The 15,622-nt window shown below is 44.5% G+C and overlaps 1 protein-coding gene across 3 annotated transcripts in view, besides 1 other annotated feature; it reads left to right on the forward strand.

Annotated features, from left to right (window-relative positions):
* Positions 1,847-2,286: a silencer, noted in NCBI's record as "silent region_3265". NCBI's record gives its function as "represses an Ori minimal core promoter by ATAC-STARR-seq in GM12878 lymphoblastoid cells {active_cell/tissue: GM12878}" and the evidence as "EXISTENCE:reporter gene assay evidence [ECO:0000049][PMID:35858748]".
* Positions 1,936-15,622, forward strand: part of LDLRAD3 (low density lipoprotein receptor class A domain containing 3) — a 288,075-nt gene continuing 274,388 nt past the window's right edge. For all 3 annotated transcript variants that reach the window (NM_174902.4, NM_001304264.2, NM_001304263.2), the window contains exon 1: positions 1,936-2,018. In NM_174902.4, coding sequence (NP_777562.1) covers positions 1,973-2,018 — 46 coding nt within the window. In that variant the 5' untranslated portion in view covers positions 1,936-1,972. The remainder of the gene's footprint in view (positions 2,019-15,622) is intronic.

Consider the following 15,622-nt stretch of genomic DNA (forward strand, 5'->3'; position numbering starts at 1 on the left):
CCCAGCCTGGGCAACAGAGTGAGACTCTGTTTCATAAATAAATAAATAGATAAATAAATAAATAAATACAACAGTTGACCTTAAATAAGGTTTTACATTAGTCCAAATGATTTCAAAGACATTAATATATTTATATTTAAAAGTGTGTGTGCCTGTGTGTATGTGAGAGAGAGAGAACGAGAGAGAGAGTCAGAGTCAAACTTGCAAAGTAAGGAAGTTGATGTGTCCAAAGAAACCTAAGGAAATAAGAACTATAGCAGTGGGTCAGTTGCATTATCTTTCCGTATCCCTAATGTTTGGAGGCAAATGAGCAGCTGTAGGAGAAATTATTTGCTTATTTGCCTCCTCAGATATTATTATCAAAGGCAGGAGGCCTCTTCCCAACAAGCTTCCCGGAACAATGCACATACCCACATGCACAGGACATTTTGCATAAAATTTTAAGGGCTTTAAAATTCTTTGAAGCCCATGGGACGATCTCCATAATATTCATCAATCCCAGGATAAAAGCCCCGAATGCCAAATCATTTAGATAATTGATTTATATTTTCCATGTGTACTATGAACTATGGAACTTAACCTTTCCTCCCTCACATCACATTTTCTCATTACCTTGAACAATCATTGGTATTTTTAAATTTTGACCTGATCCTTTTTAGCCTTTATGTTTCCAGACTACAGCACGCAATTACAGAGTAAAGTAATTGAATCTTAACACCCTTGAGGGTGTCTCCAGGGCATCCCAAAATCTGACGCAGGCATCCCTTTTATAACTGCCCCTGTACCCATACCTTCCCCTTTCTTTCAGCCAGGTGGAGTTTGTGTAAATAAACTCAACCCTTTTGAGGGGTGGATTTTAGGGATGCAGTTCTATTGTTTTGACAAATGTATACAGTTGTGTAACTACCTCTATAATCAAGATTAGAACAGTCCCACTGCCCCCAAAAGTTTTAATTTATTGATCCATTTATCAATTGATGGACACTTGAGTTGTTTCCAGTTTTTGGCAATTATTTGCGTTAGTCTTTTGCTTTTTTTGGGTGGGGGATCAGAGAGAGTGGAGCACAGAAGTGTCATCCCCTTCTTCCACCATCTAAGTCTTTTGGGGCTTTTCACCAGTGCCCTCTGGAAGCAAGTGCATTGGTGCAGCTATATTTTTTGCATTTGGGTATCTGCCTTTCATGACCTTTTCCTTTTTTTAATTTTATTTTTTCCAAATTGGGTCCCAAACGTTCAACAGGTCAAGGTGGACACTATGCAGACAAAATAACTCATGTGGTCCACGCTGTGTGCATGGTAGGTGTCAGCTGCTCTTACCGGTGGCTCCCGGATCATCAGCCTTGGAATCAGCCACCATGTTGTTAAAAATGCAGAATCTCAGGCTCCACGCCAGATCTACTGAACCAGAGTCAGTATTTTAACAAGATCGTCAAGTGTGCCGGATGCATATTAAAGTTTGAGAAGCACTGGTATTCCACACTCGCTACTAAAAATATACTACAATTTTCTCATAAGATTTGACCCTTTATTTTAACTTTTTCTCTCTCGGTAGTAAACTCACTTTGTAGTTTGAGTAAAGAACTCAAGTTTTGGTCTGGGCGCTGCATCTCGCTGGGTGTGGAAGCAAAGGCAGAAATGAGAGGGACAAAAGGAAGCAGAGAACAGAGCCCAGGCTGTTAGAAGATCCTCGCGGCCAGACCTGGGAGGCTGAAAGGCTGAGAGACCGAAAGGCTGAACCCTCCGCCGCGCTCGGCGGCCCCTCGGAGTCAGGACACCCAGGGTAACATGCGGGTGGCCACGCGCAGCCCAGGCGCTTGCAAAACTTAGCGGAGCCGGGCCGGGGCCGGGCCCGGGGAAGGCGGGAGGGAGGAGGGCCAGGCGGGAGGGCGGGGACGGCGCGGCGAGGGGCGGGGTCAGCGCCGAGGCCGCGGGGGCAGCAACGACGCCGGGCAGCGGGAGCGGCGGCCGCGCCATGTGGCTGCTGGGGCCGCTGTGCCTGCTGCTGAGCAGCGCCGCGGGTGAGTCGGGGGGCGGCCGGCGAACTTCCCGCGGGGCGCGGGGCGCGGGGCGCGGGGCGCAGCGGCCGGGTGCGATCGCGTCCTCTCCCGGGCGCGGGCCGCTCTCCGGGCGTGGGTGAGCGCGGAGGGCGGACCCCGGCGCCGGGCTGGCCCGGACCCTGCCGAGGGGCCGCCGCGGGGTGCGAGCCGTCCTATTGTGTGGGCGTGCGCGCCGGGTCGTGTTGTGCTGTGTGCGCGGGCGGGGCTCTGTGTGCAGTCCGGGTCTGGGGAGCCCGGCGGCTGCCCCGATTGGGCGTAGCTCGAGTGTGGCTGTGTGTGTGTTGTGTGTGTTGAGGAACGGAGGCGGGGAAAGGAAAGGAGAGGAGAGGAGAGAACTCTTCCCTGGTCTCATCTTCCCAGACGCCTGGTCGCGCGCGGCTGCGTTAGCCTCCTCTGGGCCTCTTCCCGAGTCTCTGGCGTGCACTCCGTGCCTCAGTTTCCCCACCTGCACCGCGGAGGGAGTAGCAAAGCTGCTTCCTTTCATTCCTCTCTGGGACTGTTTGGTTTGGGTAAAGTGAGTTGAAGCAAGGCCGGATCTGGGAATTCATTTTTCCCCACTGATCCTGGGAACCGAAGCTTTATTTAAGACGTCTGACCACCCTACTTGCCCCGCGATGGGCGCCCTGACCGGCGAGGGGCCCTGGGAGAGGACACGGGGCTTCATCCGGCGGCCCTTTGAACCTGGCATCACCACCGCGTGTGCATCCCGGGGCCTGGACCGCAGCAAGCCTCTTTCCCTTCCAGACAGCGTGCTGTTCCCAGGAACTTTTCTGCTGATGTGGGCATGATCCGAATTCCAGCCTGGGAGCCCTTCCTCCTCTGCCCCTGCCCGCCGCCCACAGCTGTCAGCTGTCCCTCCTGGACTGGGCCCGCCCTTGGCCCCTTGACGTTTATTTCTGGGCATCTGATGCCTAGAATGTGGGTGACAGGGCCCAGTGAACTTTCTTCAGCAGAATCTTGCCTGCCTGGTGTTTGTGCCATCCACATGTCCAATAGCTGCCCTATTTTGCCAAGTGCTTCTAGCAGCTTGGCTGTCGAGGTGTCTTTGGTGGCCTGTGGGTTTGCTAAGTTGAGGCTCACTTCATTCTTAGCTGTGCCTTGGAGTTATGAATGCGTTAAAGGGATATCTCCTCTCTTCCTTGATGTCCCTGGTCCTGGGCATCCTCACAGCCCACTGGGCAGCCTTTCCTGCTCTCAGACCCATGACATCATCTCCACTCCTCTGATACCCCATTTAGATGCTTATGGGTTTGCTGGGCTTCCAGGGAGGGACTAGACCTCCTGGTGACTGCTGTGGATTTTTAACCAGGTCTGGGTGAGAGTGCCCTTAAATTAGTCCACCTGGGGAGAGAGTTCTCACAGGACATTGGGCAGCCAGGAGCAGGTGTGAATTGTTTGGAGGCTGTTAGAGCAGGTCGATTTTCAGGGCGTCTACAGATATGAAGACCTGTTTGGATTCACAAATTCAATCTGTGTAGCTGTGGTGTGTCCCCTCATAGCACCTGAGAAGGACAGTATGGAAGCTGGCTCTTGTGTGTGTCCTGGGAGAGCCACTGTAGCCAAATGGAAACTTATTTATTGCATCTCCCAGTTGGTACTGGGTTGCTTTAGTTGAGTCTCCATCTCTGTAAAAATAGTTGTAAAGTTAATTTTGTCCCTCTCTGGTCAGCAGTGGCTATTTAATGTGTGTGTGTACATCTGAGATAGGGCTAAAATAAATAAAATGGTCATAGCAAGGAGCAGACGGATAGGGGGAGGAATAGTCCAACTGTCCCTGGTGGGTTTTCCATTATCTGTGGGCTTTGAATTACCTTTAGAGTTGCTGCCTTAGAAACATCTAGGCAGGTTGGAGTGTGTGCATCTTTCATGTTACATTAAGCATCATCTTTTTAGCATAGATTTCACTTTGACCCAAGTGTTGCCAGAAACAGGGCTGGTCCTTTTTCCTAATGTCAACTAGATGCTCCTGGGCTCCCAGCCCATAAGAAAAGCCTGTTTGGTTCAGTTTGGGTTTCATAGCCAGACCAGAGACCCTACCCCTCCATCCCATGGCCTATGCTTGGATCCTCTTCTGGGAAGTTGATAAAACAAGAGAGATTGTAAAAGCCAAGACTTTGGATCTCTGTCTCCATCTGATAGTCTGTGAAAGAATCCCAGGGTCAAGGTTGAACCGTAGTTAGAGTCCTGAGTCTTTGTGGGGCTGGAAAGCCACTGACATTCCAAGAGCAGTTTGGAGGCCTTTTTTATTCAGGAACCTTCTCAGACACCTTGCATATTTTTTTCTTCCTTTGTTTTTATTTGTGTTAGGGAAGTGAAGCATTGATTTTCACCGTTACTATTTTTTAATGTATCCTGCGAGAGAGACTAAGCCCAAGTCATGTCATCTGATGTCCAGTTTTCCTGCATGTGGGTGGACTCAGTGGGTTTAAGTGCGTATGGCTTGAGACATTTCTAAAGGCAGCCATGCTGGATGATGGTCCATCTTCTCACCTCCTCCAGGACTGACCTTTGCCTAGACTTCCTGACATTCTGTATCAGTGAAAAGGCTTGATTTTCCCAGGAGTGAGTGTACTCCCAGGAGTGAGTATTGACCTTTTCTCCTGGAAAGATCTGCTTAACGGTGTGAGGGGTGGGTTTTATTGTTTTTAACTTGCTGAGTAGCTGTGCACATCTCAGCACAGCTCAGCTCGGGAAGATGAGGCCTAAAAGAGGCCTTGTACACCAGAGTACAAATAAACACACCTTGTTGCTTTTCATCTTCAAAGAGATGTGACTAAGGCTCCCTACTGGGGTGTGAGATGTTTTTTCCTGACAGCCGACTTAGGCCATTTACTCTGGGATAAGTGGGGGAGGGAGAGAGATGGGAGTAGGAGAGGGTGGGGTGGTAAATTCTGGGCCTTGAAGAGTGGTTTAGACACCTTTCAGCCAGTCTGCAGGATAAGTTGAAAGTGGACTTGTATTGTCACCTTTGTAAAGCAGTTTAGAGAATTTGGAGTTTAGGAACACTTATAATCAAGTAATTTCATGTTAAAGAATTGGCCTTAAGCCGGAGTAATGGCTCACGCCTGTAATCCCAGCACTTTGGGAGGCCAAGATGTGTGGATCGCTTGAGGTCAGGAGTTTGAGACCAGCCTGGCCAACATGGTGAAACCGTCGTCTCTACTAAAAATACAAAAATTAGCCAGGTGTGGTGACGTGCGCCTGTAATCCCAGCTACTCCGGAGGCCAAGGTGGGAGAATCACTTGAACCTGGGAAGCGGAGGTTGCAATAAGCCAAGATCGCGCCGCTGCACTCCAGAGCAAGACTGCCTCAATTAAAAAAAAAAAAAAGAAAAAAGAATTGGCCTTTACAACCTTGCCTGTTTCTGTGGGCAAGGGAAAGAGAGGGAACCCACTATCAGTGAAGCATCTCCTGTGTGTGAGATGCTTTGCTCATTACTTTAAGCACATGATCCCATTGAAACTTGCCAAGGATATCATGTGGCAGGAAATCATTGTATGGTTCAGGAGAGATTGATAATACCCAGGGTACCACAGTAAAGGCTGAAGCCTAGATTCTAACTTAAGCTTCTCTTTGCCCCCTACCTGGGCTTTTCCCACTCTGTTTCCAGGCTTCCTGCACCATGCTTCCATGCCTTTCCTCCACAGTGCTCTTGCGAATTGACACAGTGAGATTGTTTACATGAATGCTCCCCCTCCCCAAATCTGTTCACTTTGTGGTCACTGCCCAGGATCTATTCAGCAGAGACATCAGCTTTCTTTGCAGGATACTTTGGTGTTCATGGTAAATACATAAAATACATCTCAATCCTTATGTGAAGATGAAACTTTTTCAGACTAACTCTGGTCCTTTTGCTGTGTGTGTGGGTGAGTGACAAACACTAGGCGGGGAGATGATACCAGCCAGGGTTCGATTTCTTGACCCGAATTGTAGTTACATGGGGGTTCGTTTTCATTCTTTGAGCTCTAAATTCGTATTCCCCTCTTAAAATGTGTTTATTGTATTTTAGAATTAAAAAAATAAGGTACTTTCCACCATGGAGATGCCTTGGAGTGATGGAACTGTTTTTAGCTATGGGATTGCCCCAGGGATGGATCTATTTTTGGTTGTTGGGTTTTCTTGTTTGTTCTTTTCCCCTCTTTCTGTCTTCAAAATATTTAGGAAATGCTTGGACCATTCTAACCATGCAGTTTTGTTGTTGTTTTGCCAGTGCCTCTACCTGACAACCAGGGAGATTTTTAAGTTGGCTGATCGTGTGTGTGTGTGTGTGTGTGTGTGTGTGTGTGCACATGCACACATGTGCATATGTATGTAACTGCCTTCTTCTATTGTTGTGAAAAAATCTACTCACTTGGATGCTAAGGAGTACCTTGAAGATGTTTGCTGGGAGAGCAGCCAGGTACTTTTGATATGCCGTATTTGCTCGTCACATCATTGGCTTGATGTTTAATACATCTTAATATAGTACGTGGACTTTTATGACAGAGTAACTGCTTGGTCGGGGGAGAGCAAAAGTTTACTTGAGATAGGATTCTTAGGGCTTTTGGAGGTGGTTGCAGGGATGGGGTTAGTCTCGGGCAGGGTTTCTCAGCTTTGGTACCAACGACACCTTGGCCTGGATAGTTCTTTGTTGTGGGGGTTGTCCTGTGCATTGCGGGATGGTCACAGCAGCATCACTAGTTCTTGATGCCTGTATTGGCTTACTCTTCACCCACAGCGGTGACAGCCACAAATGCCTCCCGACATTGCCACGTTGCCCCTAGTTGAGAACCCCTGGTCTAGCATGAGCAAGTGTCCTTGCCATGCATCTTGAGCATCATTACTGTGCATCATTACTGTGCATCATTACTGTGCATCATTACTGTGCATCCTGAGTGTGTCTTCTGGATGCAGGGGGTCAAGATGCCATCCTCCTCCCAAGGGCCTTTGGGCTTTGGCTTTATGTTTTGTAGCCACACAGTTCCATGGGAAAACCCATTCTTAACCAGGAATGCCGTCAGCACTGACCCTTTCCCTCTCGCTTTCCTCTTGTGTCAGAGTGAAAACTTCTGGAATTTTCTATATGTGGTTTCCTTGGGAGAGACATATGCAGAGAAAGCAGGTGATAGGCAGGTGACAGCTGACACCAAAAGCCACCTGGTTCCCTGAATGTTAAACCTGGGAGGTTCAGCAGCCCTGAGGGAGGGCTATAGGAGCACAAGCTGCCAGATTGCCTTGGAAGTCTTGTGTTGAAATCCTAACCCTGGAAGTTCCCCTTCCTCCACTTCACAGAGTAGGTATTGTTCTTCTGGGCTCCCCTTTCCCTCCCCATAATTCCTTCTCCCTTGCCATCAAAAGGCCTTACAACTTGATTCGTTCTGCAGGTGCTTGGGAAAATCATCTCTACTAGCGGCAAGCTGTGTGTGTGTGTTTTTAGAAGTTTTCATCGTACACTTTTTTCTCTAAAGTCTCTTTGTTGCTCTGTGTCACTTTATAACACTTCAGTTCCTTTAAGACACTTTTCCTTCCAGCTGTCGTTTTGCTTTGCTCTGTTCCAAACCTTCCTTAAGAATTGTGCTTCCACCTCTCTTCAGACTAGCCACATAACTTATCTGCAGCTGTCTTCTTTTGGGCATGAATTCACAGGATGCAAGGTGGCACCCAGAGGAGGACGATGGCTTCCTGGGGAGAAATGCACATTGTTTCAGTTCAGGTCCATTTATCTGAAACCATGCCCTCTTGGAAAAGCCTTCTGTAGTGAGGAGCTTTAGCTTCCTGAGTGTGCAAATGTCATTTTCTTTGTCTTTGGATAGTTAGCAATTTCTTAATATTTTATTTGGTTGTTCGTCATTGTGCCATCATCTCTGCCACACCCAGGCACTGTGTCTATTTCCAGGGGTAGGCGAAGCCATGTAAAACTTGTTCTTTGCCCTTGAAGACCCAAATGACCCACTGATGGAAATGGGATTGTTGACCTTCTTCGTTATCTGGGAAGGGTAGAGGCTCTCTGCCAGTGTAATCTCGGAGGCATTTCTAGACAGGAGTTGTACTGATGGATCTTGGACCTTGATGGGAACACAGAGCCGTGAAGATGTCACAGTGCCCAGGCAAACATGGGTACTGCGTCTTCAGGGATATTTAATCAATGTGTCATTCTTGAACAGGTTTCAGAGGTGATGACACATGTCCTAGTTTGCTTCTTTAGCTTTCAAGATAAAATACTGGTATACGTGTATTGGTGCTCTGTGACTTTTCTAGCTCTAGGCTTCTGAGGTTTGAGCTAGAAATGTCTTCTGTGGCTTTTGGACAATAGCCTTCTTTACCTTATGGTCATACACAGTATATATGTGTATGTGTGTATGTGTATGTGTATGTCTGTGTATACCCTGGTTATATATATATACTGTATATGTAAAACCTTTCTTACCTTCTAAATCCTGCTAGATTGAAAGCTCCTTGAGGGACTGGGATCATATATTAAGTGTCTGTGATACTTTTTCTTTTGTGGTGTCTAGAAGAGTGAGAGTGGCTCCCATTCATTGAAGGTTTACTCTGTCTGGCAGGGTGGCAAGCACTGTACGTGTCTTATTTTGTTATAAACTTCTTGAATTACAAACACTGCAAAAATAATACACGGGGGCCAGGAGCAGTGACTCATGCCTGTAATCCCAGCACTTTGGGGGGCCGAGGTGGGCGGATCACGAAGTCAGAAGATCGAGACCATCCTGGCTAACATGGTGAAACCCCGTCTCTTCTAAAAATGCAAAACGTTAGCCGGGAGTGGTGGCACGCACCTGTAATCCCAGCTACTTGGGAGGCTGAGGCAGGAGAATCACTTGAACCTGGGAAGTGGAGGTTGCAGTGAGCCGAGATCGTGCCACTGACTCCAGCCTGGGTGACATAGTGAGACTCTGTCTCAAAAAATAAAAAATTAAAAAAAAATACACAGACTGAGTACGTGCTTATGATACAAAATTCATACAAATTAGAAGTAATGGCAATAATAAAACATTAAAATCCTCCTTCATCTTCCTTTCCCATTTCTCTCCCCTCCCTTAAGTAACTACTGTGAATTGTCTGGTATATATCAATTTAGCTTTAACATGGATTTATAATTATATACAGGTACACACACACAGAGACATAATTTAATGAGCTCCTGCTTGTCTCTATTTGTAGTTTTTTGGCTGGCTTTTTAACTCAAGTACTATATTTCATCAATTTTATTTTGAGCCATGTGAATGCGTCACATCTGTCTCCTGTTGTTTAGACATTTCAGTTAGTCCCAAGCAATTTGGCAGTTTCCCTCACCTTCCCTTGCTTTGCTCGGCTCTTGAACAGACACCCCTTTTGTTGCTATCTCAGAAGCACAGCTGATACACCTTCAGTTATTTGTGTTTTCCTCTTTTAATTCTCTTAAAGGGCTGGCTCTTGCTTTGCAAGAAAATATGGAATTATGGTAATTTCTTGCAGTGAGAGATATTTGCTTCACTATTATCAAATTCATGCTGTTTCCCTGCCTCTTTGTGTATACACAAATGTGTTTAATTTTTCATTTCAATGCCACATTTTAACATCATCTTTTGAAGGACATTCTAAATAGCAGGTCACTTCAACCTGTGTAGTACCAGCCATGCACATAACTGGAGGGAAGTGACGAAATAGGAACAGCTGTGACCAAGTTTACCCAGGCACTGCCAGTGACCAATAAATCACAGCTTCCGCCCACCCTGTGCTTTTAGAAGATGCAGTTGGCCATTAGGTACATCCTGATGTCAGAGATGTTACAACATCAAATAAAAGTGTCTTCTTGGCCATCTTTCTTTCGGCTCTTATATACCTACCCATGCTTTTAAAAACAGCTTTCTGGTGTGTGTACATACTATAATTTATTTAATGCTTTCCCTGCTGGTGGATCTTATTTCATTTTCAGAGTAGTTTATTCAGGTGGGTAGTATGCTTTACCGTTTTATAGATGAGGAAACTAAAAGGTTCAGTAACTTTCCTAAACCTTCGACCAGTAAGAGATAGTTTCAGAATTGGCACGTGGGTCTGCGTGACTTAGACTTGGTCTCCTAACCACTGGCCCTGCTGCTTTGGTATAGAATAGAAATCCAAGTCTGTATGTGTTGGGAGAAGAATTGCACCGTCTACCTTGTGCTGGAGAATTCCAGCATTGCATAGGGATGTCAATATTGACTTCATGCTTATCGTGTTGGATAGAATGATTTGTTAGAGAGCCATTGGAGTGGGGGGCATCTCAAGTTGATTCTACTCAAATGGCCTGTCTTTGGCAGATAGAAACTGCTGTTCTCCTATGTGGAGAACGTATCAGTATAGGTGTTGAAATTGGCTTTTGCAAAGACTGAATTTATTAAACAAAAATAAGAATAAACAAGTTATTTCAGCACCATGACACTTGCCTTTGAATATATTAATGATAGAGATAATTCTTCCCCCCTTTATGGGAATATTTTGTTGGAATACCAACCAAAAGCAATTTCTTTTCAGCACTTCCCTCAAATAGTGCTGGGTGCCAAATAGAAGGGCCCACTGTTCAAAAAGTCTGGAAATATATTTTCTAGACAAAGATACAGTACTGATGATAATGCCTCGTATCAAAAGAGAAATTAAAGTATTTTTAGAATTACTTTCTGACCCTGAGCTTAAGCTTATATGGTCCATGTATGAGAGAACATTTCCTGAACTAGAGATTGATGTTCTTTATTGTGGAAGCTGAAATTTTAATATGTTGCTCCAGAAAGAAACTAGAAATAATTGGCCCCATCTTGTTGCTTCAAACTAAGGGGCTCTTGTGCGAAAGTAGGCAGTGATGTCTTGTGAGAAAGTAATGCCACAGGCCTGTAAAGTGTTAGCTACAGGCAGAGCAGAGTGAACCCCAGGATTTTAAACTTACTCCCAAGGCCTTTCCAGAGACCTGAGAACCGGACTCTCCTTTTGTTGAGTCATTGTGATATCAAGAGACAGGTGATAAATTGGGTGAATTCGCTGTTGCCCAAATCCAACTGTGATTTTTGACAGACAAATAGCGCAGTGTGCAGACGATGTTGTCTCTGTCCTGGCGAGCGGCCACGGGGAGGGAGGGCAGGCCCTTTAGCTTACTCTGGAACAGGCCTTGGGCATCCGGGTGCTGCAAGGATGTGGAATTTATGAATAACTTGATTTAGAAGACTTGCATACCCAAGGTGCCAGTGTTCCAGGTGGCAGTGGGACACTTATGTGTTTGTTGGCATAAAGAAATGAAAGCATAAAGGGTGTTTAATTTTATTGCATTAAAAATCCCTTCTCATTATTATAAGACCGAGTGAGTTTGGCTTAGCGAATGTCAGAAGTGTGTCCTCTTTGATGGCATTACTGGAACATTTTCCTTCAGCTTTAGCCTTGAATCAGAGCAGTGTTCTCCAGGCGTCGTTAAACTAATTGGACATGGCTGAAAAATGAGCCCTAGTCACACTTGTAGTTCCACAGTCCGTTGAAAAAAGCCTCTTGATTGATTTGGAAAGTTCTAAATTTAACTTGTTTTTTTATTATAAAAATAAAATTGGGGGAATTTGGGGAGGGGAAGAGTGATTAGCAACATAGGGTATTTCATCAGAGTTCAAGCTGTAAAGAATGGTTAATGCTAAGAGAAACCAGAACAGAACTAAATAAGGTGTTTCAAAAACAGATTGATAAAAACATTGGCATAAGCTTGATTAAAAAGTATGATACTAGCAAGTGAGCCCAGCTGGCAGGAACCTGGGGAAGCAGGATTGGAATGAGTTGATGCTTACTACTGTAAAAGAGATAAAGTTGGAAAGAATGACTTTTACATTAAGAATATTTGGTATTAATGAAAGATAGAACTAATCTTGTAAATGTTACAGTGTAACAATAAACATCGGTGGATCCTATGAAGGGCAGTGGTGACATAATAAAGGTTTAGCATACCCAGAGTTCATTTGTGTTATTCAAGTAAATGATAATGATGACAATACAAGAAAAGCTAACAGGTGTCAAAAATATAATAGGGTTCAGTTTTTGAATAATAAGCATACCAGAACAGTCAGAGATGGTACAAAATATGAATGTATATATATTCAGCGGAAGGAACACTGCCCAGAATTGAAGGGCAACGTCAACATCTTTTAAAAGTACCCATAAAATGTGACTTGGCAACAATCCTGAACAGAAAAAAGAATTCTTCTCTTTTCCTGTGTGACTAAAGCTCCATGAGGTGGGATGGAGTCTATTGTGTTTTTGATGTCTATCTTATTTGTTGTTATACTCCAGAACCTGATTCAGTGCTTGGCATAGTATCAGGCACACAGTAGGATTTCCTGTAAGTTACCCTACAAGAAGGAATGAAGGGGATCACTAAAGACATGACTATGACTTTGAAAAAGAGACGGAATTGGGAGAGTCAGACTAAGCCATGGTGAATGAAATTTACCTGGCCAAGCTAACTTTGCCTTTTGGTGAAAATTGCTTCTCCTTCGCTGGAGTTTAGAACAGTCTCATTGATCTTCAAAGACTTGGAAAGATCTTTACAGGATATCCCTTGGCTTAAAAAGACAAAGAAAAAGAGGCCTTTGAGAGGGCAATGTATTATAGCAATTTTAAATCAGGTGATAAATTAGATTCATTATGAGACTAGCATGTGACATATCAAAAGGGTTTCTGACAGGCTAATGAAAACTGCTATGCATCTTAATTCCATTTGAAGGGAGTTTACATAGTTTACTGAACAAGTAGGAGAGGTCACCAAGAGGAAATAAATTAAAGCAGGTCTGTTTTATAAAATAACAGTATTAGGCCGGGTGCACTGGCTTACACCTTGGGAGGCCGAGGCGGGCAGATAACTTGAGGCCAGGACTTCGAGACCAGCCTGGCCAACATGGCGAAACATCATCTCTACTAAAAATATAAAAATTAGCCGGGCATGGTGGCACATGCCTGTAATCCCAGCTACTCGGGAGGCCGAGGCACGAGAATCGCTTGAACCTGGGAGGTGGAGGTTGTAATGAGCTGAGATTGCACCACTGCACTCCAGCCTGGGCAACAGAATGAGACTCTCTCTCAAAACAAAACAAAACAAAAAAACAGTATTAAACACATGAAATAGTAAGGAACAATTGGTTATCTTCTGGTCTAGTTTAAAAGGAAATAAAACTTTGCTGGTCAAACCACGCAAATGATTCCAGGAAGGAAGCACATCAGTAAATATAACATTAAAGGTAAGTGGAAGGTGATATGAATACATCAACTAAAGACTAAATGTAAAGCAAAATGTTACTCTTATTAAAAGAAATCACCTATCTGCTCACTTTCGGACACGTAGTAAAATTCAAGAGATATAAATAGAGTGAAAAGTTAAGGAAATAAAATCCATTATGTAAGGACTACTTTTATGGTATCATATAAGTAATTTCATAGCATTAAGCATTAAAATAGATAAACAGGGTTACTGCAAATGACAAAAGATTCATTAAAAAACAAATATCTGATCATCCCACATAAAAAGACATGAAGAATTAGGAACATAATGAAAGGATGTTGAAGGTTCTTCAAGTATAAAATTAGCTGGTGCTTGCCAAATTTTGGAAGGTTAAAATATTTAGAGAATACATAGTTCTAATGTTTTAAGTAAAGTCTGTGGGAATGGGGAAGTGCTCATCAGGTGCTGAGGACTGGGTGGTGTGTGCAGTGGGAATGGTGGGTGGGACTGACCAGTTCCTTGGGGAGCCCCCAGGGGCCTTTCCTACACACCTGCTCCCTGGATCTACAGAAGTGCTCACTCATGGAAGCTATGGGGATAAAATCCTTCCTGCTAATGAGATGAGAAGGTTGATTAACTTTGAGTTGGGCTTAGTGAGTCTGACACCAGTGGCTGCCCAAGGGGAGTCTGCTGGTGGGAATTTACAAGAGCAGCTTCGGGCCTCTCATATGGATGGAAAGAGGATGTAAAGGTTACTGAGGAGAAGGTGTATTTTTGTTATATATTATTAAGCTTTCATGTTATTTAAATTATTCGATAACAGAGCTGGGTATGGTGGCTCATGCCTGTAATTCCAGCTACTCCGGAGGCTGAGACAGGAGGATCGCTTGAGGCCAGGAGTGGAGACCAGCCTGTGCAACATAGCAAGACCCCCATCTCTAAAAATAAAATTCAAAATAATTATTAGAAAACATTTTCCTGGTTGAATATAGTGTATTTTCTCTTTTAAGATTTTACAATATGGATTGTGTAGAGCTTTGCTACTCTTAGTGTGGTTGACAGACCAACAGCATCAGCATCACCTGAATCAGAATCTGCATTTTAACAAGATCCCCAAGTGATACATGTGCATATTAAAGTTTGAGAGGCATTGATGTGGTGATTAAGAATACAGGCTTTAGAGTGAGTCAGTCTGGGTTCAGATTCCAGTTCCTTGCCTTGACCTTGGCTAGGTTTCTTAAACTTTTTAAATCCATCACATCTTCGTCTGTTAATAGGTATAATAATGGTCCTTACCATGTAGAAATATTTTAAATAAGATAATGCATGCAAAACACTTAACTTTATTTTTATTTATTTTATTTATTTTTTTTGAGACGGAGTCTTGCTCTGTTTCCCAGGCTGGGTGCAGTGGTGCAATCTCGGCTCACTGCAAGCTCTGCCTCCCGGGTTCACACCATTCTCCTGCCTCAGCCTCCTGAGTAGCTGGGACTACAGGCGCCCGCCACTACGCCCGGCTAATTTTTTGTATTTTCAGTAGAGATGGGGTTTCACCACGTTAGCCAGGATGATCTCGATCTCCTGACCTCGTGATCCGCCTGTCTCGGCCTCCCAAAGTGCTGGGATTACCCAAAGTGCTGGGATTACAGGCGTGAGACACTGCACCTGGCCACACTTTATTTATAATTGCTCACTAAATGTTATTGATTAGTAATAGGTTTATTATAAAAACTTGGACAAAAGGTAGAAACACATAACATACAGTCTACCACCTAAAGATTTTTAACACATTGGTTTATTTATTTATATTGATTTTAGATAGTTTTGATCATACGTGGAATATAATTTCATGTCCTGCTTTTTTCACTTCTGAATATAGCATAGACGTTTTCCCATGTTACACTAATCTACGAGTACAAGAAGTCTCCCATCACAGAATGCTGGGTGTATTCTTTGATGTTGGCTGTAAAAATCATCTGACCCACCCAAGCCAGCAACATGCTGCCTCACAGCTTATATCCTTGTCTATATGTAGGAGATGACATTACCTGGCCCCTCTGCTTTTACATGATGGTCATGAGAATCCAGTTGGAATCGTGTAGGATGTAAAAACAGCTAGTAAAAAGTAAAATGAGCTGGGTGCGGTGGCTCATGCCTGTTATCCCAGCACTTTGGGAGGCTGAGGCAGGTGGATCACCTGAGCTCAGGAGTTTGGGCTGGGCAGCCTGGGCAACATGGCGAAACCTCGTCACTACTAAAAATACAAAAATTAGCCGGGCACAGTGGTGTGCATCTATAGTCTCAGGTAGGAGGCTGAGACAGAAGAATCGCTTGAACCCAGGAGACGGAGGTTGCATGGAGCTGAGA

This window comes from Homo sapiens, chromosome 11 (assembly GCF_000001405.40).
Source record: "Homo sapiens chromosome 11, GRCh38.p14 Primary Assembly".
Taxonomy (NCBI): Eukaryota; Metazoa; Chordata; class Mammalia; order Primates; family Hominidae; genus Homo; species Homo sapiens.